The sequence below is a fragment of the Homo sapiens genome, chromosome 11, assembly GCF_000001405.40.
Source record: "Homo sapiens chromosome 11, GRCh38.p14 Primary Assembly".
Lineage (NCBI taxonomy): Eukaryota > Metazoa > Chordata > Mammalia > Primates > Hominidae > Homo > Homo sapiens.
Window position 1 is genome coordinate 66,609,751 of NC_000011.10, and position 27,772 is coordinate 66,637,522.

Here is a 27,772-nt window from a genome sequence, read left to right on the forward strand (position 1 = left end):
ATATTAGGATGAATTCTGCAGTAAGTAATACAGTCCTAATAGTGGCCAAAGCAATTAAGACATTTAATTATGTCACCAGATCAACAGTCTGGATATTTGAGGATTCAGAGCAGGTCCAGTGGTGTGGCAACGTCAGGATACTGTCATCATGAACTGTGTGTTTCTCTTCATGTCCCCTCCTCCCCTTTTGGTGGCAAGGGTGATTACCACAGCACCAAGCCTCCCATTGTCACACATTCACATGATAGGGTGGAAAGCTGGAAGGAAGGAGACCAAAAAGGGAAAAGCTCCTTTCTAGCAGAGAAGAACACCTATGCAATGGAATAATGAAAGTTAGCTGTGAAAACGTCTTTATCTGTGTTGTTACTAACTCATATCAGTTTCCTGTAATCAGTTTCCTTTGTAACAGTGGCAGCTGTAACAAAGTACCACAAACTGTGGCTTAAAACAACAAAAATTTATTCTCACAGTTCTGGAGGCCAGAAGTACAAACTTAGTATCACTGGGCTGAAATCAAGGTGTGGACAAGAGCTTGCTTCCTCCAGAAACTATAGGGAAACATCCCTTCCTGGCCTCTTCCAGCTTTGTGTGGCCGCTGGCATTCCTTGGCTTGTGGCCGAATCTCACTCCAATCTTCAAGGCCAGCACCATCCACTCAGTCTGCTCTGTCTTCCCATGGCCTTTTCCTCCATGTATTTGTGTCAAATCTCCTTCTGCCTCCCTCTTACAAGGATGCATGTGATTGCATTTAACACCACCAGAGTAATCCAGGATAATCTCTTCTTAGCAAGGGCCATTGATTTAATCACATCTTCAGAGACTTTGCCACATAAAGTAACATTCAGAAGTTCCAGGGATTAGGACCTAATATCTTTGGAGGCCATTAATAAACCTGCTACAGTGACCTAGTAAACCACAGGTAAATTGATACAATTAACTTAGGAAAAGGTCTCATAAGTAAATTTGACGGTACTCTAGTTTCCATGACAGAATTTCTCTCTAGCCTTTCTCTCCATTCGTTGTAAAGAGATAAGGACTTTACTTGTCAGATTGCTTTATTACAGAGATTGTTTTTACCCAAAACTAAGTTTACCTAAGTTTACAAAATTTGATTTAGATCAGTGGTTCTCAGTGGGGATGGTATGGCCCTATGGAAGTTTGTGAGGGCTATTTCTTCTGGCTGTGACAATGCTAGGTGGGGGCGGGGATGCTGCTGGTATTGGGGGAAGACTAGGGATACTTACCAACCTTCAATGTGCAGGATAGTCCTGCACCAAATAGCCCACAGGATACCCTTGTAGGTGAAAAATCACTACTTATGTATATTTCAGATGGTGTCTTGCTCTGTCACTCAGGCTGGAGTATGGTGGTGTGATCATAGCTCACTGTAGCCTCCATCTCATGGGATCAGGCAGTCCTGCCTCAGCTTTCTGAGTAACTGCAACTACAGGCATGCACCACCATGTCCAGCTAACTTATTTTTTATTTTCTTTATTTATTTTTGAGACGGAGTCTCACTCTGTTGCCCAGCCTGGAGTGCAGTGGCATGATCTCAGCTCACTGCAATCTCTGCTTCCTGGGTTCAAGTGATTCTCCTGACACAGCCTCCTGAGTAGCTGGGATTACAGATATGTGCCATGACGCCCAGCTAATTTTTTTTTTTTTTTTTTTTTTTGTATTTTTAGTAGAGATTGGTTTTGCCATGTTGGCCAGGCTGGTCTCAAACTCCTGACCTCAAGTGATCTGCCTGCCTTGGCCTCCCAAAGTGCTGGGATTATAGGCGTGAGCCACCACAGCCGACCTATTTTTTTTCTTTTTTTCTTTCTTTCTTTTTCTTTTTTTTTTTTTTTTTTTTTTGAGACATGATCTCTTAGTTTGTTGCCCAGCCTGGAGCCCAGCGTCATGATTATCGTAGCTCTGTGCAACCTGAAACTCCTGGGCACAAGCAAGCTTTTTGCCTCAGCCTCCCAGCTGGGACCACTGGTGCACATCACCATGCCTGGCTAATTGCTCTTTTTCTTTTTTTTTTTTTGTTTCAGACAGTTTCACTCTGTCACCCAGGCTGGAGCACAGTGGTATGATCTCGGCTCACTGCAACCTCCACCTCCCGGGTTCAAGCAATTCTTGTGCCTCAGCCTCTCAGGTAGCTAGGATTATAGACACGCGCCAGCACTCCCGGCTAATTTTTTGTATTTTTAGTAGAGATGGGGTTTCACCATGTTGATCAGGCTGGTCTTGAACTCCTGACCTCAAGTGATACACCCACCTCGGCCTCCCAAAATGCTGGGATTACAGGTGTGAGCCACTGCGCTGGGACTAATTTTTATATTTTTTGAGACATGGGGTCTCCCTGGGTTGCCCAGGTTTGTCTCAAACTCCTGGGCTCAAGTGATCCTCCTGCCTTGGCCTCCCAAAGTGCTGGGATTATAGGCATTGAGTCACTGCGTCTGGCCAAACTTCTTACTATGTGTCTTACATTGTGTTCAACACTTGTTATTGCTCAAAATGGCCTTATCCTTCATACATACCTGCCAAGAGAAATTTTTATTAGAGACAAGGCCTCCCTGTGTTGCTCAGGCTGGAGTGCAGTGGTGCGATCACAGCTCACTGCAGCCTTAGCCTCCTGGGCTCAAGTGATCCTCCCATCTCAGCCTCCAGAGTAGCTGGGACTACAGGCACACACCACCACACCTGGTTAATTTTTAAAATTCTTTTCATGTAGATGGGGGTCTATGTTTCTCAGGCTGGTCTTGAACTCCTGAGCTCAAGTGATCCTCCTGCCTCAGCCTCCCAAAGTGCTAGGATTACAGGGATGAGCCACCACACCCATCCCCAAATTTACAATTAAAAAACTCTTAAACCTAAAAACAAAAATGTGGTAAAGCCAGTTATTTTATAGGTAAGATGATACTCATATGTGTAAAGAATCTAGCTGGGTGTGGTGGGTCATGCCTGTAATCCTAGCACATTGGGAGGCTGATTCTGGAGGATCACTTGAGGCTAGGAGTTTGAGAGCAGCCAGGGCAACAAATTGACCCCCGTCTCTACAAAGTAAAAATTAAAAAATTATCTGGGGGTGGTTGGGCATGGTGGTTCATGCCTGTAATCCTAGCATTTTGGGAGGCTGAGCTGGGCAGACCACGAGGTCAGGAGTTCAAGACCAGCCCGGAAGGTCCAGGCTGCAGGGAGCCATGATTTCATCACTGTACTCCAGCCTGGGGGACAGAGTGAGACTGTCTCCAAAAAACCAAACCAAACCAAAACAAACAAACAACAACAACAAAGAAAAAACCTGCAAACTTTTCTTTGAGATCAGCCAAGCCAAGCTAGACACTTTACAGATGAGAAACTCAGTGAGGGCTGCAGGAGCGAAGAGGGTTGCCCACCTGGACCATAAAACTGAACTAGGGCTAATTTAATGCTATTTCCATTATTCTAGATCAAGGAGTCAGATCCTTATTCAAGCCCCAGCATTCTGATTTGCCAGATCTGTGAAATTTGGCAAGATTCTTTACATCTATTTAATTAATTTATGTATTTAGAAACAGAGTTTCACTCTTTTGCCCAGGTTAGAGTGCAGTGGCACCATTACAGCTCACTATAATCTTAAAATCCTGGGCTCAAGCGATTCCTTCCCCCTCAGTCTCTCAAGTAGCTAGAACTACAGGTGCACCACCACCCGCAGATATATGTGTGTGTGTGTGTGTGTGTGTGTGTGTATATACATACACACACACACACACACACAAATATGTACGTATGTATTTTTTGAGACGGAGTCTCACTCTGTCACCCAGGCTGGAGTGCAGCGGCCACAATCTCAGCTCACCGCAACCTCCGCCTCCTGGGTTCAAGCAATTCTCCTGCCTCAGCCTCCTGAGTAGCTGGGATTACAGACGCACGCCACTACGCCCAGATAATTTTTTGTATGTTTAGTAGAGACGGGGTTTCACCGTGTTGGCCAGGCTGGTCCCGAACTCCTGACCTCATAATTTGCCTTCCTCGGCCTCCCAAAGTGCTGGGATTACAGGCATGAGCCACCCCGCCCGGCCGCCGGCTAATTTAAAAAAAAAAAATTTTAGAGATGGATTTTGGTCGTTGCCCAGGCTGTCCCCAACCTTCTGGGCTGAGGCGATCTACCTGCCTCAGCCTCCCAAAGCACTGGGATTACAGGCATGAGCCACCACACCCAGCCTACAATTAGTTTCACCTGTTTCTTTTCACCTTTTAAAATGCAGCTACTAGAAAAATTAAAAGCACCTATGGGTCTCACTGTGTTAACGTAAGACCCCACCTGCCGGGTGGGGTGACTCACACCTGTAATCCCAGCACTTTGGGAGGCCGAGGCAGGCGAATCACAAGGTCGGGAGTTCGGGACCAGCCTGGCCAACATGCTGAAACCCCTACTAAAAATGCAAAAATTACGCCGGGCGTGGTGGCGTGCGTGCCTGTAATCGCAGCTACTCGGGAGGCTGAGGCAGGGAAAACTGCTTGAACCCAGGAGGCGGAGGCTGCAGTGAGCCGAGATAGCACCACTGCACTACAGCCAGGGTGACAAGAGTGAAACTCTGTCTCAATAAATAAATAAATAAAATGGCTATCCTTACTGGGTAGCTAGGGGTTTGCTGATATCCTGTTCTGGGAATACTGCCAGCAGTTTGGATTTCAGGAGATACCAGAGTAGTGCCCCTTTTCTTTCTTTCTTTCTTTCTTTTTTTTTTTTTTTTTGAGACGGAGTCTCGCTCTGTCGCCCAGCCTGGAGTGCAGTGGCGCGATCTCGGCTCACTGCAAGCTCCAACTCCCGGGTTCACGCCATTCTCCTGCCTCAGCCTCCCTAGTAGCTGGGACTACAGGCCCCCGCCACCATGCCCGGCTAATTTTTTGTATTTTAGTAGAGACGGGGTTTCACCGTGTTAGCCAGGATGGTCTCCATCTCCTGACCTCATGATCCGCCCGCCTCAGCCTCCCAAAGTGCTGGGATTACAGGCGTGAGCCACCTCGCCTGGCCCAAGCACATGCCATTTCAATGGCCTTGTGCTACACAACTCCCACCCTCCTATTCTGCTCTCTGTTCCAGGTTCTGGCCATATTGGGCTCTTTTTTTTTTTTTTTTTTGGAGACAGAGTCCTGCTCTGTTGGCCAGGATGGAGTGTGGTGGCGTGATCTCAGCCCACTGCAACCTCCACCTCCTGGGTTCAAGTGATTTTAATGCCTCAGCCTCCTGAGTAGCTGGGATTACAGGTGCCAGTCATCATGCATGGCTAATGTTTTGTTTTCAATTAGCAATAATTGCGCCTCGGATAAACCTCATTGGCTATGATACTGCCACTGCGCAAAGCTAATGTTTTGTAGTTTTAGTAGAGACAGGGTTTTACCATGTTGGTCAGACTGGTCTCGAACTCTTGACCTCAGGTGATCCGCCCGCCTCAGCCTCCCAAAGTGCTGGGATTACAGGCGTGAGCCACCGGGCCTGGCCCATACTGGCTCTTGACTCTTCCTTGAACCAGATTTGCTTCTGCCCCAGCACTCTTTGACTTGTACTTTCTGGCCGGCATGATCTTCCCTCAGAGGATGGCTTAGTTCCCTTGATTACTCCAAGTCCTCATCACCATCTAACACGCTTATGTTTTACTTATTTCTTGCCTGTTTCTCCCCACCATAAGATCCAAGAAGGTTGGGATTTCTGTCATTTTTTTTTGTTCACTGCTATATTCTTGGTGGTGTCCACATGGTAGGTGCTATTTGTTGACTGAACACGTAGGCAAATATTTCCCTGAGTTTGTCACATGTCTATGTTTTTGATGTTGTCTGCCATGCAACAATCTTATTTACATACTCAAATCTGTTTAAAAAAATTTTTGAGACGGAATCTCACTGTCGCCCATGCTGGAGTGCAGTGGCGTGATCTTGGCTCACTGCAACCTCCGCCTTCCGGGTTCAAGTGATTCTCCTGCCTCAGCCTCCCAAGTAGCTGGGATTACAGGCGCGCACCACCACACCCGGCTAATTTTGTATTTTTAGTAGAGACGGGGTTTCACCATTTTGGCCAGGCTGGTCCTGAACTCCTGACCTCCGGTGATCTGCTTGCCTTGGTCTCCCAAAGTGCTGGAATTACAGGCGTGAGCCACCGCTCCCGGACTAAAATTTTTTTTAAGGCTCAACTTTTGCTTCCTGCAGAATTAATTTTCTCGTTTATTAAACTGTTTATTATGAAAACCTTCAACATACAATAACGTCATTCCATTATTTCTTGACTGGGAATTCCATCAGGGCAGAGGCCTTTGATTTTTCACCGGCTGCCAGGACCTCAGCAACCCCAGGGAATGTTTCCAAAGAATCAATTAATGGCACGAGGGCTTCTCCGGGGCCTGCCTCAGGTCCCCTCGCGGTGCTCAGCACAGTCCTGGGAGCCGTTTGCCGACTCAAGGCGCCTGTCCTGGTTTCTCCCGCCAGGCCCGGCCTTCCCCCGTACACTCACGCGGCAACCCCCAGGCGCGGGTTTGGACAGGGCTTCCAGAATGGGAGGAGCCCTGACTTCCAATTGTACAAAGTTTTCCTGGGAGCCCGCCGGTCCCAGCCCCACCCGGGCCAGAGACCGCCTTACAGACTAGGCCTCTCTGCCGCCGGCGCCGCTCGCGCGCGTTCTCCTCTCTTCAGCCCTCCCTCTTCTTCCCAACCCCCTCTCCCGCCACGGGCTGTGGCGGTTGGTCGTCCCTTTCCCACCCCCTCAGCTAACGAGCGGGCTCTAGGCCCTCTGGGATTGGCTGTGCCTGAGCACATCTTCCCTCAGCGTTTCTGATTGGTCGCTGGACGCGCGGGATGCGAGTCCCCATTGGCTAGGCCAGGGCGCCTGCGCGGCGGGGTTCTCGGTCGCCAGCCATTCCTGAGGAGGACTGCCGGTCGTTCGGACGTCTTGCCTGTCGCTGGAGGAGAGGTCCGGGCTCTCCAGGAAGGTGGCTGCGGCGACAAAATGAAGATATTCGTGGGCAACGTCGACGGGGCGGATACGACTCCGGAGGAGCTGGCAGCCCTCTTTGCGCCCTACGGCACGGTCATGAGCTGCGCCGTCATGAAACAGTTCGCCTTCGTGCACATGCGCGAGAACGCGGGCGCGCTGCGCGCCATCGAAGCCCTGCACGGCCACGAGCTGCGGCCGGGGCGCGCGCTCGTGGTGGAGATGTCGCGCCCAAGGCCTCTTAATACTTGGAAGATTTTCGTGGGCAATGTGTCGGCTGCATGCACGAGCCAGGAACTGCGCAGCCTCTTCGAGCGCCGCGGACGCGTCATCGAGTGTGACGTGGTGAAAGGTAACGCGGAGGCGCGCTCGGGGGCGGGGGCGCGCTCGGGGCACTCTGCCTGTTAGCCACGCCCCTTACCCGGGGGTCGGTCACTGCGCGGTTGGGAGGGGTGGGGAAGTGCGCGGGAGCAGGTCGGAGGTGTTGGGGGCGCGTTGGGTAGAGCCACCCTCCTCCCCTGCGGTCCAGGAACCGTCCACCAAGTAGGAGGAAGCGGCTCTGGGTGGGTGCGGCGGCCACTGCGAGCCAAGCTACGGGGCCGGGGACGCGCCTGAGAGCCTTGCGAGTGTTCCGGGGGCGCGCCTTCTCCTGGTCTCCTGGGCCTGGCACCCAGCGGAAATTGGGAAGTGACGGGCACAAGCCGGATCATGAAGCGGGGAAGATTTCTCCACTTCCCCACTTCCTCTCCAGACGTCGGTCAGAGCAAGGGAAGAGGGAAAAGGTGGGGGCTGACGCCCCAAGGCCGCCCTCCTGTTCCCTCCCGATGAATGTGCTCAAGCGGAAGGTAACGGGGCCCTTGGACGTTTCTCGGGCTGGGGTCTTTTAGTCTTGTCTGGCATGGGTCTACTCATGGGCACAGTTACACGTGGGTACGAGAGGGGCCCCTTCCGAATCACTTTGGCCTTTCAATATTAGGTAGGTTAGGCGTGGCAGCTCTGTGCTTTTCTCCTCCCTCAAACTTGGGGTTTTTCTTTGGGCTCGATTTTACATCTGTCAACTGGAAACCCCAGCCTTTTGCATGTGCAAGAAAGCTTGTTTTATGAAGTCCCCTTCTGCGTAGTCTTTACATGCCAAGCCAGTGCCCTAGGGCAGTGTCATTCTTTTATAAGCTTGGTGACTTTGCAGGGGGGCATACTCTGGCTGAGGGGGTCCTGGGGAGGGGTCTGTGAGAGCTCTTCATTAAACAGTGGCTAAACACGGTTTACTGAATCAGTAGTAGTCATTGCTTGAGTAGTCTGATTCTCAGGGCAGATCCCGGTGCCTTTTCTTCGAGAAAAATGTGTCACCATAATTTAAGCCTGACTAGGGACCCAGTTGACTTTTTCATAGCTTGAGTTTTTATCCCTTAAGCTCTTTATCTTTTACATTGGCAAGATTTGGTGGGACAGCCGTTGTGTATGTGGCCAGTCTCTGCTCCACTTGGGAACAGATCAGAGTTAACTTTGCCCTGTCATTTTGGAAGATGCAGCCTGGGAGTATCTGATGCCCTACTCCTGGTGGGTTCATACCTGCTCATACCCTGTGTGAGAAGTTTCAGGGATAGGAAATAAATGTGGGTGCAAGTGCTTATTTATCCCACCAAGATATTTCATTTGCTGTCCTGGAAAGGCACATGTTTGGGGCCATTCCTAGTCCTTTAAGTGGGGGAAATATAAAGGGTCATAGTGTCCACTACTAGGAACAAGTCCTTGTTCTGCATTAATACTGCATTCTATTTTCCTCAACTCAGGTTATACAAGTCCACGACTATCCGGAATCGGGCTTTCCTGCTGGGTGCTCTGAGGCAGGCTGTATGGTGCATGGATTTTTGCTTTTGTTTAGAGTAAAAGAGTGGTGGGGGAGGGTCTCAGATTGGGTACTTGTCCAGCAAAAGGGTGGGGTATATGAGTCTCATTTGTGAGAGTTTTGTGTTTAATTGACTTACCAAGTTTCTTTTGTGGTTGTTAGGTAGAGTGGCTACTAGGTTGAGAGTCTAGAGTCAAACATCTGAAGGGACAGTCTCCCTGGAACTCAGGCTTCTTGCTGGCTTTCAGGTGGTAGAGAAAGTCAAAAATTTGCCTGAAATTTGCTTGGGACCCAACACCAAGTGACGATGCGGGTGAAGTGCATAACTGCACATGAATTTTTAGAACTCCTGGCTGACTCCTTGTGAGAGTTAGACGGAGTTTTGTGCATCTTGTTCCTTTGTAAACATTTGATTAGCAAAAATGCATTGACTTACTCCGGGAGTGGTGGTCAACTATTTGCAGTTACATTGTTGTGTAACAGAGCTCCTGACATACTTCGATGTAAGAGACTGGGAAAGATTTGAACATCATATCCTCCACTGATGTCTTTTTATCTGTTTGTGATGACGGAAAGTGAGGGTTGAAAGTTGGGAGTGTAGTAGAAGCGACTGGCTCTCTAAAGAGCGTACTCATTTCTTATGCTGGGAATGGTCATTTGATTGAGTCTCCTTGTGTTGGCTGACAGGGCTTTGAAAAGCACAGAAGCTTGGTGTTGCACCAGACAACCAGCTCTGTTTTATTTCACAGGAAAAAAAAACAACATAGTTGCTTGGTTACTCCAGGAGCTTAGATAGGATTTGTAGAACAGAAATCTCAATAGCAACAGTGGATTGTAACCACTCCACAGCTTCCTCCTATTGGGTGTTCAAAGATGAACAGCTTCCGGAAACATGTACAGACTTGTGGGGAGATCTGAAAGACAAAAGAGGAAAATATCTTCTCTTCATTTTTGTGAGTGACTGTTTCTTCTTCCTATACAGAGCTCTGTAGTTTCAAGTTTAAGATTTTTTCTTTTTCTTTTTTTTTTTTTTTAGACGGAGTCTGGCTCTGTCGCCCAGGCTGGAGTGCACTGGCGCCATCTCGGCTCACTGCAAGCTCCGCCTCCTGGGTTCACGCCATTCTCCTGCCTCAGCCTCCCGAGTAGCTGGGACTACAGGCGCCCGCCACCACACCCAGCTAATTTTTTGTATTTTTAGTAGAGACGGGGTTTCACTGTGTTAGCCAGGATGGTCTCGATCTCCTGACCTTGTGATCCGCCTGCCTCAGCCTCCCAAAGTGCTGGGATTACAGGCGCAAGCCACCGCGCCTAGCCCTCAAGTTTAAGATTTTTAGTCTTAAGATAGGAGAACTTGTTTTTCTGGATTCACTTAACTTTGTTACTGGAGGACTTGTGATGCCACCAGACCATTTGGAGATCTCTGTAAAACATTACTTGATAGTCCCAATGCAGTGATTTCCTTCAGAGTTTCCTTGAATTAGATCTGTGGGCAAGAAGGTTCCTGGAATTTTTCAGATCTCTGGTTTTAATGGTCTTAGGAGTACTTGGGTGTTAGGGCATCTTTAATCTAGCTAGGTCTGTGCTTTGCACTTACTGTGATGGGGCTTATCACTACAGGATGCAGTTGAGTTAGCTGGGCAACCTATTCACACTTTTCCCCTCCAGTGTCAGGCTTAGAAACTTCCTGATACAATTTGGTTATAATTGTATCAGATGGATTTTTAAATTTTGTATTTATTTTTATGTTATTTATATATTTATTATTTTTTTTTATGAGACAGAGTCTCATTCTGTTGCCCAGGCTGGAGTGCAGTGGTGAGATCTTGGCTCACTGCAACCTCCGTCTCCTGGGTTCAAGCAATTCTCCTGCCTCAGCCTCTCAAGTAGCTGGGTCTACAGGCCACCACACCTGGCTAATTTTTGAATTTTTAGTAGAGACAGGGTTTCACTATGTTGGCCAGGCTGGTCTTGAACTCCTGACCTCAGGTGATCTTCCTGCCTCGGCCTCCCAAAGTGTTGGGATTACAGGTGTGAGCCACCATGCCCGGCTTGGATTTTTAAATTTTTTGATCAGTTATAAAACTCATTTGGGTAGTCATTTGAATCATACATGTGAAATCTCAATTTTCAGATTTCACCACTTGGTCTGAATAAAACTCACTAAGGAGGGAAACAGACAGTGGGATGTCCAAATGCTCTTGTAAGCCCATGGAAGTTTTTGTCTCATTCTAGTGTCAGGAAGTTGTGGATAGAATAATCAGGACTGTTAGAATTGTTCCTTAATATTCCCTCAGAATGTCTGGAGGCCCCTCCCTGCAACAAGTGCCTATGAGCTCCAGCAACTCTGCTTCCCCTTCACTTTGGGCCTTTCTGCTTGCCATCTCCAGGTGGTTTTGCTATTCCCGAGGATTACCTCAGCCTCTGGTTTTATTTTTATTTTTTATTTAAAGATTTTTTAAAATATTTATTCATTCTTTAGGGTCTCGCTTTGTTGCTCAGGCCAGAGTGCAGTGGCGTGATTGTGGCTCACTGTAGTCTTGACCTCCTGAGCTCAAGCCATCCTTCCACCTCAGTCTCCCAAAGTATTAGGATTACAGGAGGGAGCCACCATTCCTGGCCCAGCCTCTGCTTTTAAAGGGCTCTTAGGCCACATGCTGGTTTTTTGTGTTTTTTTTTTAAGCTTACTCTATTCAAAGTGGAGATGAAGGATCACAGGACAACTTTAGTGCCTTATGCCTAGGCCAAAGGAAACACGTAGCTTTTCACAGGTGGTAGATAAGGCTCTGGCCATGGGAGTGTTGAGGACAGAGTTGTGATAATTCATTTTGTTCTTTTTTTTTTTTGAGAGGGAGTTTCATCCTTTTTGCCCAGGCTGGAGTACAGTGGCACGATCTTGGCTCACTGCAACCTCCGCCTCCCGGGTTAAAGTGATTCTCCTGCCTCGGCTTCTTGAGTAGCTGGGATTACAGGCACATGCCACCACAGCCGGCTAATTTAATATTTTTAGTAAAGACGGCGTTTCACCTTGTTGGTCAGGCTGGTCTTGAACTCCTGACCTCAGGTGGTCCGCCTGCCTCGGCCTCCCCAAAGTGCTGGGATTATGGTGTGAGTCATTGCGCCTGGTCTCATTGTGTTCTTTTATCGTCTGTGCCAGCTTCTAAGTTTGCATGGCATTGTGTTTTGCTTGAGATGAAAGATAATATTCTATAGGGAAATAAATCTCTGGTTATTTCTAGGTTTGAATAATCATAATTCCTTATTCTGTAGCTGTTCATATCTTACAAGGCACTTTTGTCTTTTCTCTTGAACCTCTTAACTTTGAGGTAGGTAGGATAGATGTGTCGGAGGAAATACATGGTAAGTTTCTTTTTATTTTTTTTGAGACGGAGTTTTGCGCTTGTCACCCAGGCTGGAGTGCAGTGATCTTGGCTCACTGCAGCCTCCTTCTTTTTCTTCCGGGTTCAAGTGATTCTCCTCCCTCAGCCTCTGGAGTAGCTGGGATTACAGGTGCCAGCCACCACGCCCTGGTAATTTTTGTATTTTTAGTAGAGACGTGGTTTCACCATGTTGGCCAGGCTGGTCTGGAATTCCTGACCTCAGGTGATCCACCCACCTGGGCTTCCTAAAGTGTTGGGATTACATGCGTGAGCCACCGTGCTTGGCTAGTTTCTTTTCTTTTTTTCTTTTTTTTTTTTTTTGAAATGGAGTCTTGCTGTGTCACCCAGACTGGAGTACGGTGGTGCCATTTCGGCTCACTGCAACTTCCACCTCCCAGGTTCAAGTGATTCTCCTGCCCCAGAGCCTCCTGAGTAGCTGGAATTATAGGTGTGCACCACCACACCTAGCTAATTTTTGTATTTTTAGTAGAGACAGGGTTTCACCATGTTGGTCAGGCTGATCTTGAACTCCTGATCTCAGGTGATCTGCCTGCCTTGGCCTCCCAAAGCCCTGGCATGAGCCCCTGTACCTGCCTAAATGGTAAGTTTCCTAAGATCTTATAACAAGTCAGTGATACCTGGGTCTGGAACTGAGACCATTGAATTTCTAATTAAGGATCCCTTTTGTGCTATGCCACACTTCTGACTTCTACTTATTGATTGCATTTTTTCCCCATTATCCTTAGTCTTGTGTCATTGTCTTCAAATCCAGGGAAATGACTTGTTCTGTAGGAGCAGCTAGATAAGGCATCCCAGTACGAAAGTTTCTAAAAATGAGGACCCTTGTTTGGAGGTTATTAAGAATGTTTCTTATCTTAGTATTGTCATCTGGGTAGCTCTTTGTTTCTTAAGCTGATGTGACAGATAGCATCCTGGTACTTGGATGCTATCTAAGAGTAGCCACAGGTCGAGAATGGAGCTAAGCTTAGAGCCTTATTTCCTAGGGGCAGGATTCTCTCCTTCAGATTCTGCCTGTGCTTTGTGAGTGTGGACATGAGAATTTCTTTCCATTCCTTCATTCCCTGAAGTTTTCTCCTTCTGTGTAGTAGATAAGTATAGCTTTGAGACCGGCATCCTGTCTTCTCCTACCACAGCTTATTCAGGTCATAATGAGAGCTGCAGGGGTAACCTGGTTAGCAGAGCCTGTTAGCTGCAGTAATTGCAGCTTCATACCTTATAGGTGAGAAACCAGATCTTTCTGGTAAGCAGTCTGCTCTGTGAACAGAAGCCCAAGGTGTAAGGTATACCTCTGTCCCTTAAAGAGGAAACAGTGGAGGATGCAGTGTGGTCTGGGACAGGGGGATTGGGCATGAACTCAGCCAGTGGGCTTAGTTTCTATTCCCATACCTCATTGGCTTACACAGGGTCCATCTTCTCTGCTTCTAAGCCTAAATTTTTAGTCATATTACACAGTCCTGCCTTATACCTTGACTTCTCAGGGATAGATTATGTAGCAAAGGGGCATTGGAAGAGCTGTGATTCTGGTCCTGACTCTAACACACTTTGAGTGGGGCAAGCCATATAAAAACTCTTGAGCATGTATGTCCACCTGTTAAATGGAGGTAATGATTCTTTGCCCTGCCTACCTCACAGGATTGTGAGGCCCAAATGAGGTCCTCCTGTACCTAAGAGTGCTTTGAAAACTTGGGAAGTACTGTGAAAAAGCGGAGAGATCATATTGGAATGTTGTGAACTGCTTGCTTGTTGCAGTCTATCTCTCTTGCCTTAATTGGACATGGGCTGAGAGATGGGTCATACCAAAACGTGAGTGGTCATTTCCAGTGTTTGAGAGTTAGGCCTCAAAAGTGAGCTAGGCCTCAAAGGTGTTTGGTGAGTTTGGGTTGAGAACACTGAAGAACTGAGTGATCTAGGAACGCTTTCTGCATTTTGTTCTGCTGGTTTGTACTTACAGGAGATGTGAAGATTTTTATCCTGTGTTGCAGTTCATCTTTGCTCCTTCTTCTCTCACCAGGAAGTTGGGTGAGATGGCAGGGTTTGTAAAGGGGAGAATGGGAAGAAGGCTGTAGGCAAAGATGACTGCTTGGGACAGTCAGAAGCTTTGTTATATGGGAGCTACATTTTATGACATACTCCTGGAGAGGAGGGTTTGGAGGCCTTGGAGGTAGCTGGCAACAGCTGGGTGCTGTTGTGTGTCCAATTTGGGACCCATCAGGTAGCATGCCCTGCCCCCCTAATTGCTAACCCTCTGTCTGCTGCTTTATCAGACTACGCGTTTGTTCACATGGAGAAGGAAGCAGATGCCAAAGCCGCAATCGCGCAGCTCAACGGCAAAGAAGTGAAGGGCAAGCGCATCAACGTGGAACTCTCCACCAAGGGTCAGAAGAAGGGGCCTGGCCTGGCTGTCCAGTCTGGGGACAAGACCAAGAAACCAGGGGCTGGGGATACGGCCTTCCCTGGAACTGGTGGCTTCTCTGCCACCTTCGACTACCAGCAGGCTTTTGGCAACAGCACTGGTGGCTTTGATGGGCAAGCCCGTCAGCCCACACCACCCTTCTTTGGTCGCGACCGCAGCCCTCTGCGCCGTTCACCTCCCCGAGCCTCTTATGTGGCTCCTCTGACGGCCCAGCCAGCTACCTACCGGGCCCAGCCGTCCGTGTCACTGGGAGCTGCCTACAGGGCCCAGCCTTCTGCCTCTTTGGGTGTTGGCTATCGGACTCAGCCCATGACAGCCCAGGCAGCCTCTTACCGCGCTCAGCCCTCTGTCTCCCTTGGGGCACCATACAGGGGCCAGCTGGCTAGTCCTAGCTCCCAGTCTGCTGCAGCTTCTTCACTCGGCCCATATGGTGGAGCCCAGCCCTCAGCCTCGGCCCTTTCCTCCTATGGGGGTCAGGCAGCTGCAGCTTCTTCGCTCAACTCCTATGGGGCTCAGGGTTCCTCCCTTGCCTCCTATGGTAACCAGCCATCCTCTTACGGCGCCCAGGCTGCCTCTTCCTATGGGGTTCGTGCAGCTGCTTCTTCCTACAACACCCAGGGAGCAGCTTCCTCCTTAGGCTCCTACGGGGCTCAGGCAGCCTCCTATGGGGCCCAGTCTGCAGCCTCCTCACTAGCTTATGGAGCCCAGGCAGCTTCATATAATGCCCAGCCCTCGGCCTCTTACAATGCCCAGTCTGCCCCATATGCTGCACAGCAGGCTGCTTCCTACTCTTCCCAACCTGCTGCCTATGTGGCACAGCCAGCCACAGCTGCTGCCTATGCCAGCCAGCCAGCAGCCTACGCCGCACAAGCCACTACCCCAATGGCTGGCTCCTATGGGGCCCAGCCGGTTGTGCAGACCCAGCTGAATAGTTACGGGGCCCAAGCATCAATGGGCCTTTCAGGCTCCTATGGGGCTCAGTCGGCTGCTGCGGCCACTGGCTCCTATGGTGCCGCAGCAGCCTACGGGGCCCAACCTTCTGCCACCCTGGCAGCTCCTTACCGCACTCAGTCATCAGCCTCATTGGCTGCTTCCTATGCTGCCCAGCAGCATCCCCAGGCTGCTGCCTCCTACCGCGGCCAGCCAGGCAATGCCTACGATGGGGCAGGTCAGCCGTCTGCAGCCTACCTGTCCATGTCCCAGGGGGCCGTTGCCAACGCCAACAGCACCCCGCCGCCCTATGAGCGTACCCGCCTCTCCCCACCCCGGGCCAGCTACGACGATCCCTACAAAAAGGCTGTCGCCATGTCGAAAAGGTACTGTATGCCCCCCCGCCTCTGCCCCCAGCTGGGGCTTAGGGCAAGGGGCTGAGGTTGGCATGGGAGGGAAACTGGAGGCATCGGCCCCTCCCTCGGTCTTCTCTTCTCTATTTTTGTGGGATGTCCAGAGGCCGAGGGGAGCAGTGTCTATGAACTTTCCTGGTCACCAGGGTTCAGGTGGAGCATAGTGCTCAGCCTGGGGTGGTACCTGCTAGTCAGGCCAGGCACAGTGTCACCTGTCTAGGCTAGCCCAAGTGTCATTGGAGCTACTGCCTGCAGGACTGTGGCCCATATCCTTTCCCACTGTCTCAAGGATCCTTAAGCCTATTACGTGGTTGTCCTGGCTTTGGCAGGGATGTGGGTTAAAGAGTAGTCCCTTTGGCATTCACTGGCTAAAGGCAAGTTTACGAGGTGCGTCCACTCTGGGAAGTTGGGGACCTCGCTTTCATCCGCCGTTCTGTTGATAAACAACCAAGGTCTTTCTCTGCAGGGCCCAGGGGCGGAGATAGTTTGCTGTGGTGTGGGAATGTAGACCAAAATCCACCTTGGCTAGTTCAGAGGGGAGGACTTCAGTGGAGGGTTTGATTTCCCACTGAGTTGAAGCCAGGCTTGATTTTTTTGGCCTGGATAGGGTGATGAGCCTTCTGACAAAAGGAGACCAATCTCTTGGAGACCACTGTGATCACACCCTCCCTGTCCCCATTGGCATCTCCCCAATGCCCACCTGGAGTCCTCCCCTCAATTGTCTCATTCACCAACTGTCTTCTTCTCTCGACTAGGTATGGTTCCGACCGGCGTTTAGCCGAGCTCTCTGATTACCGCCGTTTATCAGAGTCGCAGCTTTCGTTCCGCCGCTCGCCGACAAAGTCCTCGCTGGATTACCGTCGCCTGCCCGATGCCCATTCCGATTACGCACGCTATTCGGGCTCCTATAATGATTACCTGCGGGCGGCTCAGATGCACTCTGGCTACCAGCGCCGCATGTAGGGCCATCCTGGGATGGGGCACCACAGGGAGGGAGGGAGAAAAGAGGTGGGTAGGGTTACAGATCCAGGTTATAACTACTCTGGCCCATACCTTTCCTGGTTGTGGTTTTTCATGCCCTCTACCATGTGGGCCTTCCCCAGGAGATGATCCTGTTAAGTGTTCGGCAGTAACCTACTTTGTTCCTTCGCCTCAGCAGCAAATCTTGCTACTGGCTCTAGATCTGCGGTTTCCCCTCTACCCTGCCTCCCGTCTCCCCAGAATGGGAATTTCTTTTATGTTTTTATTTTTTTCCTGGCTCCCTTTTATTTTTGTGCGCGATATTTAAGGTCGTCTGGATGGGGAAGCAACCTGCAGCTGAGGTCGCCGGCGCCTTTTTCTTTTTAGATGGGAAGGAGGCCAGGAAAGGGTCAGCTTAACCATTTCCTATGTGCCAAGCTGTGCCAGCAGTCCAGGGTACCCTGACTGTCCCTCTGTAGACTGTTGAGACTGAGTTCCTGTTGGGACAGTCAGTTGGTATGTATCCAAGTCCCTGCTGACCACTAATGTTCTAGCTGATGGTGAGCGGCACAGTCCCACTTCCCCATCTCCCCAAGTAGGTGGTGTTAGAAAACCTTAATTTTTTTTCCCTTTTGTATGGACTACAAATAAAACTTGGGGCAATTTGCAGTTTGGAAACCTGGTTGTCATTGTCTTGATTGCATTCAGTGTCAAAGGAGCCAATTTGACATCCAGGAAGACATGATAGCTAAAGGGAAGGCAGTCAGAGAACCCAGGACTGGTGAGGAAAGGGGTTTGAATGTCGGAATTAGAAGGATTGCCCTGTGGCCCAGAAGGATTTAGCTCATCGTCGTCCTGCTAGCCTGCCATCTTTCAGACTTTCCAGGGCAGGTGGCCTGGTCCTCAGCCCTCAACTTGAGTTAGTCACACCAAAATGCAGTAAATGATGCCCATTTTCCTCTGCCTGTGCTTGACCATTTTCACTGACTTTTCTCCAGTTCAGGAATAACCTGTGTTCCAATGGGATGGTTCTGGGGTTTGGCCTCTTAGGAAGTGGGGAATGGGCTGCTGTGGTATTTACAGGCTAGTAGATCCTTTAGGCAGTAGGCTGGAATGAGTGCTGGGGCTGGGACCCAGAAAGGAACCAGTAGTGGAGTGGGGGTAATGGCGTTGCCTGATACTGCCCTATGGTTGGAATAAGGAAGGGCAGAGAAAACTTGAAGCAGGTATGGGGCATTCTGGCCATAGAGCTCGTATTTTGCCTGTTGAGCTGTACCATGGAGCATCCTCCTGTGTCCTGCCAACCCCTGCCATTATAGTCACCGGAGACTCCTTTACCTATCCCTATCTGTTAGGGTTTTCAGATGTCCTCTCGCTGGGTTTATATTTGAAGGTATAGAATCTGGGAAAGGGTGGGGTGCAAGCTAACCAAATAGGGATGCTAGGGTTGGGTGGGGAATTGAGGACTCTTCTGTGCTTTTATTGTAGGGCTGGGGATCGAGGATCTGGGCAAAAAATATGACATTTCCAACCAGGGACAAAATGGAGGCTTGGGCTTAGTGATGGGTAAATGGAAGACTGGTTGAGTGGGATGATAATGGGAGAACTTACTGATGCTCTTTTGGGAAAAGGTGCTTTAAAGACTCGATTTGGGAGCCTACTGGGGCAAGGCGACTGGGGAGGTGTACGTGTTAGTCAAGTGGAGGTCAGGTGGGTTATCTTCTGCCTCCTTCACTGGCTTCATGTGAACTTGCCTGTGACAGAATATCTTGCCCTAGATGTCCTCTTCCCTCTTGCCATCGTGCAAAAGCATTCGATCTTATGACCGTGAGTTCTTATTTGTGGATGCTAACTGGGGTAATCTCAGGGAGTACTGGGGCCATGGCTCTTTCCCTTGCTTCTCTTTCTGCTCACTGCTTTGCTTTCAGGTGCTTAGCTGCTCCTTTTTATTTCTTTGCAGGACTGGGAAAGCATGGGAGGAGGATTTTGATAAGTTTCTTGTTCTCTGCGTGGTGATGGGGTGGTCTGAGGGCCAAGTTAATAAGCCTACCTTTGGTTATTACCCTGGAAAATTGAGGGTTGATGGTAGGGTTATGATTGTGGCCTGTGTATTTGCAATTTTTCTTTGTCAGTGTGGCTTTCTGTCATCTTCCTTTTTCTCCAGTGAGGGTTCTGCCACTGTCTCAATCCCTTGGTTCCTGCAAAAAACAGCTAAATGTGCTCTCAGGGCCAGTGGTGATGTTCTGTGTTGCAGCCCCAGCTCTTGAAAGTGACCTGGCCCAGATGAGCTCTGCCTGCTTGTCATCTTTAGGTCCTGCTGCCCCTGCTGCCTCAGCCCTCAGGCTCCTAACTGCTCAAGCCAGAAGGAGCTACAAAGCCAAATCATTTGTCATTTTTCTCTGGCAGATTGTTTTAAAATCTCCCTCCCCTCTTTTATTTTAATTATGCCACCTGTGTTAATCCTATAGCCTGCTTCTTTGCTTTGTGGATTACTGATTTCAAGTTCTATAACTTGGGGAAAGTTAGGTTGAGTGAATGGGAGGACAGACACTGAATGTGTGTTTTGGAAAAATGGACTCTCTATCTTCAGATTATTCAGCTTCTCCACCTATCACCTCTACAACTTGGCCTTCATTGGAGAAGTTTTAGTTGGCTTATTCCTGGAACAAGACCACCTAGAGGCTTTTAGCCTTGTCAGCCTGCCCTCTTCTGAGGTTTGGACCTTGTTTTAAATTGTGTGCATGGTGGGCTTGAGACTCTCTTGTAATGGAGGTAATGGGACTATCACTGAGGGGTTCAGCCTATCCAGGTAGGCTACCGTTCTAGTCATACCCATCACTTAAATTCTGCCACAGTCTGCACAGACGGTTGGTCCTCCAGGCATATTGTCCTATTAAGCCAAATAGGTGGACATCATGGGATGGATGAGGTCATCATGAAAACAGATTTACTGGATTTATGGACCTAGTATATACTATGTAACAGATGGAAAACTGAATTTTACAATCTATAGGTACCTTTGAAAGGTCATAAAGGGTAAAAGTCTATAGTTTTCCAGAAAATAATTCTTAAAACTGGGTTTTATGTCTAGATTTAAATCATGTATCTGTCTGTAGTGCTTCAAATGTGGCCAGGTGTGGTAGCTCACACCTGTAATTCCCAGCGCTTTGGGAATTTGAGGCAAGAGGATTGCTAGAGGCCAGGATTTTGAGACCAGCTTCGGCAATACGGTGAGACCTTGTCTCTACCAAAAGAAAAGAAAAAAAAAAGCCAGCTGTGGTGGCATGCACCTGTAGTTCTAGCCACTTGGGAGGCTGAAGCAAGAGGATTGCTTGAACTCAGGAGTTGGAGGTTATAGTGAACTATGATCATGCGACTGCACTTCAGCCTGTATGACACAGCAAGACCCTGTCTCAAATAAACAAACAAACAAATGCCTTGCTCAGCTAGCTGAGGCAGGCTTTGGGCTGACCTTGAGGGATTTATTGTCTGGGAGGCAGGACCTACCTCAGTGAGCGAGTTTATATGAATAAGTATTGATAGGCAAATGGTAGGTAAGGAGGGAGAGGATGTGGCAGTAATCCCAGGTAGTTAAATTTTTTGGAGAAATGATTTGATTTAAAAACCGACTTGGGGCAGGTGTCATGGCTCACGTTTGTAATCCTAGCACTTTGGGAGGCCGGGGTGGTTGGATCCTTTTGAGTCCAGGAGTTCAAGACCAGCCTGGGCTACATGGGTAAACTTCATCTGTACAAAAAATAAAAAACTAGCCAGCCGTGGTGGTACGTACCAGTAGTGCCTGTAGTCCAGCTGAGGCTGGAGGATCTCTTGAGCCTGGGAGGTGGAGTTTGCAGTGAGCTAAGATCATGCCACTGCACTCCAGCCTGGGCAACAGAGTAAAACCCCGTCTGAGGAAAACATAAAAACAACAACAAAAAAGTAAACCGACTTGGTATAGACAAGAGTGACTGTTGTCTCTTTAATCAGTTTAAGTTTTTTTTTTTTTTTTAAGAGGGTCTCACTGTGTTGCCTAGGCTACACTTGAACACGTGGCTCAAGTGATCTTCCTACCTCAGGCTCCCAAGTAGCTGGGACTACAGGAGGTTTCCTGAATTTGAATCCTGGCTCTCCCTCTTCTTGGCTGTGTGATCTTGGACATATTAGGAACGCTGCCTCTATTTTGTTACCTATAAAATGAGGATAATAGCTAACTACAGTAAATTAAATATATTAATACAACAAACTAAATTTATATTAGTGTAGCCAACACAATTATATTAATCTTCATAGCAATTCACGTGTTAGCTATTTCTTTTTTTTTTTTTTTTAAGATGGAGTCTTGCTCTTGTCACCCAGGCAGGAGTACAGTGGCGCAATTTCAGCTCACTGCAACCTCTGCCTCCTGGGTTCAAGTGATTCTCCTGCCTCAGCCTCCCTAGTAGATGGGATTACAGGCGCCCGCTATCACGCCCAGCTAATTTTTGTATTTTTAGTAGAGACAGGATTTCACCATGTTGGCCAGGCTGGTCTTGAACTCCTGACCTCAGGTGATCCACTTGCCTCGGCCTCCCAAAGTGCTGGGATTGCAGGTGTGAGCCACCATGCCCTGCCAACATTAGCTATTTCTTTTTTTTTTTGAGTCGGAGTCTTGCTCTGTCGCCCAGGCTGGAGTGCAGTGGTGCGATCTTGGCTCACTACAAGCTCCGCCTCCCGGGTTTACGCCATTCTTCTGCCTCAGCCTCCCGAGTAGCTGGGACTACAGGTGCCTGCCACCACCTCGCCTGGCTAATTTTTGTATTTTTGGTAGAGATGGGGTTTCACCGTGTTAGCCAGGATGGTCTCGATCTCCTGACCTCGTGATCTGCCCGCCTTGGCCTCCCAAAGTGCTTGGATTACAGGCGTGAGCCACTACGCCTGGCCAACATTAGCTATTTCTAAACCTATTTTGGAAATATGGGAGTTGAGGCTGTTGGTTAAGTGACTATTCTTTTTTTTTTTTTTGATGGAGTCTCGTGTCACCCAGGGAGGAGTGCAGTGGTGCGATCTTGGCTCACTGCAACCTCCTGGGTTCAAGCAATTCTGCCTCAGCCTCCTGAGTAGCTGGGACTACAGGGATGCACCACTACACCCAGCTAATTTTTCTATTTTTAGTAGAGATGGGGTTTTACCATATTGGCCAGGCTGGTCTCGAACTCCTGACCTCAAATGATCCTCCCACTCGGCCTCTCAGAGTGCTGGGATTACGGGTGTGAGCCACCATGCCTGGCCATTCTTAAGATCAAATGGCTACAAAGTTGGTGGCTCAAGGAACTGAACCAGACATTGGAACCATCTAGGGCTTTGTTTATAATCGTTATGCTATACGGCTGTTGGGAGAGTCAAATGAGGACATGTGACACGTGTATGTAGTCACTTCTCATGAAATGTTAGCCATCTCATATAAATGAGTTAGAACATTCTGGGGACACTGGGATGGCCTAGTAGAGCAGCACACAGCTGATCCAAAGATTTTGGATATAGGTGTGAGTGCAGCACATACTTCTAGTAGTGAAGGCAGTGAATATTTGTAATTAGCGATACCTAGAAGTGATTTGGCTACTGTACCACATCAATTTTGGCCACCTCCAGTCTCTGGCAATACTATTTTGTGTCCTGGGAGCAATTCTTGTGGATATGGAGAATAAAGGTTATTGATAGTGTAGGGGATTTTCAAAGACATTAAGGAAGGCTAAGAGGTTGCATTGGCTGTAGGATTGGAGGCCTAGGAAGCCTTCTGCCTGATGCCCATTGAACATCCCTGGAGAATGCTGGATTTTTAGTTTGCACCCTTAGCAGAACTGTAACTCATTTCTGGACCAGGAGCCAGAGTTATTTATTAGATGTATAAGTTATATTAAGATGTTTAAGTTACATATTTGTCCTTGAGCCTGTAAAACTCAGATTGGACTGGGCATGGTGGCTTACGCCTGTAATCCCAGCACTTTGGGAGGCTGAGGCAGGCAGATCACCTGAGGTCAGGAGTTCAAGACCAGCCTGGCCAACATGGTGAAACCCCGTCTGTACTAAAAATACAAAAAATCAGCCAGGCGTGGTGGCGTGTGCCTGTAATCCCAGCTACTCGGGAGGCTGAGGCATAAGAATCGCTTGAACCTGGGAGGCAGAGGTTGCAGTGAGCCAAGACTGAGCCACTGTACGGCTGCCTGGGCGGCAGAGTGAGACTCCGTCTCAAAAAAAGAAAAAAAAAAACTCATATAGTTTGCATTTTTATGTCTAAGTAGTTTTCACTGTCACCAGTGTTTAACCCTAAGTTTGTATCTGTCCCTCATTTCCGAGAGTCTCATCTCTTATTTCTCAGTTATATTTCTGTATACACTGCCCTTTTTATTGAAGATTGGCAGCCAGATTACATATTTATTCTTGGCTCTGAAAAAATGTCAGCTTTCTAGATGACTGGACAAGTCACTTTACCTCTGAGGAGCTTGGTAGCCTAGTCAGCAAATTAAGAATCACCAAAATAGCATCTACCGTGTTCCAGACAAGGTGCTTTTATTTACTTATTTTAATTTTTTCAGATGGTCTCTCTGGTTCCTGAGGCTGGATGGAGTGCAGTGGCATGATCTTGGCTCACTGCAGCCTCTGCCTCCTGAGCTCAGGTGATTCTCCCACCTCAGCCTCCCAAGTGGCTGGAACTACAGGTGTGCACCACCACACCCAGCTAATTTTTTTGTATTTTTAGTAGAGACAGGGTTTCTCCATGTTGCCCAGGCTGGCCTCGAACTCCACCTGCCTTGACCTCCCAAAGTGCCGGGATTGAAGGCATGAGACACTGTGCCCGACCAACAAGGTGGTTTTAAAACATCCCTTTTGCCAGGTATGGTGGCTCACGCCTGTAATTCCAGCACTTTGGGAGGCTGAGGCGGGTGGATCACCAGAGGTCTGGAGTTTGACACCAGCCTGGCCAACGTGGCAAAACCCCTCTTCTACTAAATGTACAAAATTAGCCAGGCGTGGTGGCGCATGCCTGTAATTTCAGCTACTTAGGAGGCTGAGGCAGGAGAATCCCTTGAATCCCGGAGGTGGAGGTTTTCTGTGAGCCGAGATAGTGCCATTGCACTCCAGCCTGGGCAACAAGTGCAAAACTCCTTCTCAGATAAATAAATAAATAAAACATCTCTTTTGATGTCATTCTCTGTAGTTGAGCTGGTAAGGCAGAGGATTTGGATCAGATCTCTTTAATTGGCCTTTATTTATTTATTTATTTTTTGAGACAGAGTTTTGCTCTTGTTGCCCAGGCTGGAGTGTAGTGGTGCGATCTCGGCTCACTGCAACTTACGCCTCCTGAGTTCAAGTGATTCTCCTGCCTCAGACTCCCTAGTAGCTGGGATTACAGGCATGCGCCACCACGCCCGGCTAATTTTGTATTTTTTTTTTTTTTTTTTTAGTAGAGATGAGGTTCCTCCATGTTGGTCAGGCTGGTCTCGAACTCCCGACCTCAGGTGATCTGCCCATCTCAGCCTCCCAAAGTGATGGGATTACAGGCATGAGCCACTGCGCCCGGATTAATTGGCCTTTTAGTTAAAAATATTTTTTTTAAGGGGCAAGCATTAAGTTCTTTTAGTACTCAGTAAAATACAGGTAGGTGTATATCAGTATGAAGACACTTGAACTACAAACTTCTCTACCCAAAGCTTCATTTTGTTCCAGTTGTCAAAGTGGTGATCAAAATCTGTTAGCTTGGGTTACCTCTGGCTGTTGGGTACCTGCTTTTCTGTTTGAGGAAGACTGGAACATGTACTAGGTGATGAGTAAAGGTGCGTGTTTTCAGTACTGATAAGTGTCCAGGTTTTTAACCTGATAGTGACTGAAGATCCGAAGTCATTTCCCTCCTTTCGGCTATCAAGAAGTTAACTCATACATTCATTCATTCATTTACTTGTTAACTTAGTCAACAAATATTTGAGGGTCTTACCATGTGCCAAGTACAGTTCTAACACTGAGGATATAATATAGAATTAATAACAGGCTTTTTTAGAATAAGTATAGGATTTCAAGTGGTAGTAAGTATTCAGAAAGACAACATGGAGTCATAGGATAGAGTTCCAAGGTAGGGTTGGGGTGGGTGATGTTTTTAGATCGGTGGCTGGTGTAAGAACCTGAATAAAGAATATTCTAGTCTAAATGAGCTTGGGATAAGGCCAGTATGTCTGAAGGGAGCACAGCTGGTGGTCAAGGGCGGTGGTTGTTAGAAACATATTGGGAAATTCCGGCAAGAACCAGATTGGGGTAAGGTCTTAACGGTGCAAGGAGAGGAGTTTGAATTTATTTATTTATTTATTTTTTGAGATGGAGTTTCACTCTTGTAGCCCAGGCTGGAGTGCAATGGCGCGATCTCGGCTCACAGCAATCTCCGCCTCCCGGTTCAAGCCATTCTCCTGCCTCAGCCTCTGGAGTAGCTGGGATTACAGGCATGCGCCACCACGTCCACCTAATTTTGTATTTTTAGTAGAGACGGGGTTTCTCCATGTTGGTCAGGCTGGTCTCGAACTCTGGACCTCAGGTGATCTGCCCGCCTCAGCCTCCCAAAGTGCTGGGATTACAGGCGTGAGCCACCGCGCCTGGCCGCTTGAATTTATTTCAATTGCCTTAAAAAAAAAAAAACTAGGCCAGACGCGATGGCTCACGCCTGTAATCTCAACGCTTTGGGAGGCCAAGGTGGGCAGATCATGAGGTCAGGAGACCAGCCTGATCAACACGGTGAAACTCCGTCTCTACTAAAAATACCAAAATTAGCCAGCCGTGGAAGTGTGCGCCTGTAATCCCAGCTACTTAGGAGGCCGAGGCAGGAGAATTGCTTGAACCTGGGAGGCCGAGATTGCACCACTGCACTCCAGTCTTGGCGACAGAGGAGACTCTGTCTCAAAAAAAAAAAAAAAAAAAAAAAAAAAATCCAAGTCTGGGCATGTAATCTCAGGCCTGTAATCTCAACACTTTTGAGAGGCTGAGGTGGGAGGATTATTTTTGGGCCCAGGAGTTCAAGACCAGCCTGAGCAACATAGAGACCTCATCTCCCAAAAATTAAAAAAAAGTTAGCCATGTGTGGTGGCACACACCTGTAATCCCAGCTACTTGGGAGGCAGAGACAGGAGGAACACTTGAGCCCAGGAGATCAAGGCTTTAGTGACCTGTGATTGTGACACCGCACTCCAGTCTGGGTGACAGCATGACCTGGTCTCTTAAAAAGGCAGGAAATTTATTGGCTATTATCCAGCCTTTTTTCTAAATTAAACCACCCCAAGTACTATTCTCATAATCCTTGCTTATTATATGTTAACAATTGCCATAGTTTTGTGGGTTTTGTTTTTGAGACGGAGTCTCACTCTGTTGCCCAGGCTGGAGTGCAGTGGCGTGATCTCAGTTCACTGCAACCTCCGCCCCCACGGTTCAAGCAATTCTCCTGCCTCAGCCTCCCTGGTAGCTGGGATTACAGGCGCGTGCCACCATGCCTGGCTAATTTTTTTTGTATTTTTAGTAGAGACAGGGTTTCACCATGTTGGACATGCTGGTTTTGAACTCCTAACCTCAGGTGATCTGCCCACCTCGGCCTCCCAAAGTGCTGGGATTACAGGCGTGAGCCACCGTGCCCGGCCGAGAGGATTGCTTCTGAGCGCAGGCATTTCAGACCGGTCTGGGCAACAAAGAGTTCGTCTCTATAATAAATTAAAAAAATAGAGAGGCCTGGTGGCACACACGTGTAGTCACAGCTACTTGGGAGGCTGAGGAGTTCCAGGCTGCAGTGAGCTATGGATAGTGCCACTGTACTCCACTCTGGGTGACACTGCAAGAACTGTCTCAAAAAAAGGCAGGGAGATTATTTAATGCGGTTCATTCAGGATGAGCTTGTAAAGTGTTACATAGCTAACTAGACCTAGTTGGGTTTCAGAGGTCAAATCAAGTAATTAGGTTTTGGGCTGCATGCAGAGGTGGTTAGTAGTTTTGATGTCCGCACACTGGGCTTGAACTGTGATCCTGAGATTTATGTTCCCAGTCTCCTTCAATCTGGAGAGATTATTACTTACAATGAGTTGATCCTTGTTATACTTTGGTATTTTGGAAGAAAGTTTTATCCCCAGACATGTTGAGACAAGAGATCTAACTGAAGGAGATGAGAGGATTTCTATACCATATGCGTTACCTTCTAATGCTGGCCACCTCTGAAGGGCACGTGGCAGCTGAGACGAAATTGATTTTCTTCATCACTGATCCCGTGGCCTTTACACAGGCTCAGAGGTGCATCAGAATCCACAATGAAGTGGACAAGATTAGTGACCAACACATCTGTAAATGTTATATTTTCTTTTTTTAGTTCCTTAGCTTTTTCTACCCTAGGATAAATTATTGACCAGTTTTCTGCAGTCAGATTCCTGAATCATGTTGGGTTTTTTTTTTTTTTAGTTTCACTCTTGTCGTCCAGGCCACTCTTGTCTTGCCTCACTGCAACCTCTGCCTCCCGGGTTCAAGCGATTCTCCTGCCTCAGCCTCCTGAGTAGCTGGGATTACAGGGGCCTGCCACCACATTGGGCTAATTTTTGTATTTTTAGTGGAGATGGCGTTCACCATGTTGGCTAGGCTGGTCTTGAACTCCTGACCTCAGGTGATCCGCCCGCCTCGGCCTCCCAAAGTGCTGGGATTACAGGCGTGGGCCACCGCACCTGGCCCTCGTGTTGGGTTTTAAAACCCACTCTTTTTTTTCCCCCCCAAACTCTGACTTCACCTTTCTCTTTATGAAACCGTTCTCTTTTTGGGGCGGGGGTGGTGGTGAAGAAGCTGCTTTGGATGGTGGTGTGTGGTACTTGTGTC

The 27,772-nt window shown here is 48.3% G+C and overlaps 2 protein-coding genes and 1 pseudogene across 5 annotated transcripts in view, besides 3 other annotated features; 2 read left to right on the plus strand and 1 right to left on the minus strand.

The window, feature by feature from the left end:
* On the minus strand, positions 5,214-5,340 carry RNU4-39P (RNA, U4 small nuclear 39, pseudogene; annotated as a pseudogene).
* Positions 6,356-6,465: an enhancer, noted in NCBI's record as "active region_5053". NCBI's record gives its function as "activates an Ori minimal core promoter by ATAC-STARR-seq in GM12878 lymphoblastoid cells {active_cell/tissue: GM12878}" and the evidence as "EXISTENCE:reporter gene assay evidence [ECO:0000049][PMID:35858748]".
* Positions 6,830-7,763: an enhancer, noted in NCBI's record as "NANOG-H3K27ac-H3K4me1 hESC enhancer chr11:66384051-66384984 (GRCh37/hg19 assembly coordinates)". NCBI's record gives its function as "activates a minimal SCP1, AML or CMV promoter by ChIP-STARR-seq in primed H9 embryonic stem cells {active_cell/tissue: H9 hESC(primed)}" and the evidence as "EXISTENCE:reporter gene assay evidence [ECO:0000049][PMID:30033119]".
* RBM14 (RNA binding motif protein 14) lies at positions 6,880-20,184 on the plus strand. 3 transcript variants are annotated; one of them, NM_006328.4, is made up of 3 exons: positions 6,880-7,307; positions 14,464-15,928; positions 16,711-20,184. In NM_006328.4, the coding sequence occupies exons 1-3, from the start codon at positions 6,971-6,973 to the stop codon at positions 16,916-16,918; spliced, it is 2,010 nt and encodes a 669-aa protein (NP_006319.1). In that variant the 5' UTR covers positions 6,880-6,970; the 3' UTR covers positions 16,919-20,184. The 3 variants fall into 3 exon arrangements, with proteins under 3 accessions (NP_006319.1, NP_001185765.1, NP_001185766.1); NM_001198836.2 differs by having other exon boundaries at positions 14,464-14,574; NM_001198837.2 differs by lacking the exon at positions 14,464-15,928.
* Positions 6,880-27,772, plus strand: part of RBM14-RBM4 (RBM14-RBM4 readthrough) — a 29,839-nt gene continuing 8,946 nt past the window's right edge. For both annotated transcript variants that reach the window (NM_001198845.2, NM_001198846.2), the window contains exon 1: positions 6,880-7,307. In NM_001198845.2, the coding sequence (NP_001185774.1) occupies positions 6,971-7,307 (337 nt within the window). In that variant the 5' untranslated portion in view covers positions 6,880-6,970. The remainder of the gene's footprint in view (positions 7,308-27,772) is intronic.
* Positions 6,896-7,125: an enhancer, noted in NCBI's record as "active region_5054". NCBI's record gives its function as "activates an Ori minimal core promoter by ATAC-STARR-seq in GM12878 lymphoblastoid cells {active_cell/tissue: GM12878}" and the evidence as "EXISTENCE:reporter gene assay evidence [ECO:0000049][PMID:35858748]".

Coding starts and splice junctions, on each gene's coding strand:
- RBM14 (NM_006328.4), top strand. CDS start 6,971: ATGAAGATATTCGTGGGCAACGTCGACGGGGCGGATACGACTCCGGAG. Junction 7,308..14,463: donor CGAGTGTGACGTGGTGAAAG/GTAACGCGGAGG, acceptor CTGCTTTATCAG/ACTACGCGTTTGTTCACATG. Junction 15,929..16,710: donor GCTGTCGCCATGTCGAAAAG/GTACTGTATGCC, acceptor TCTCTCGACTAG/GTATGGTTCCGACCGGCGTT.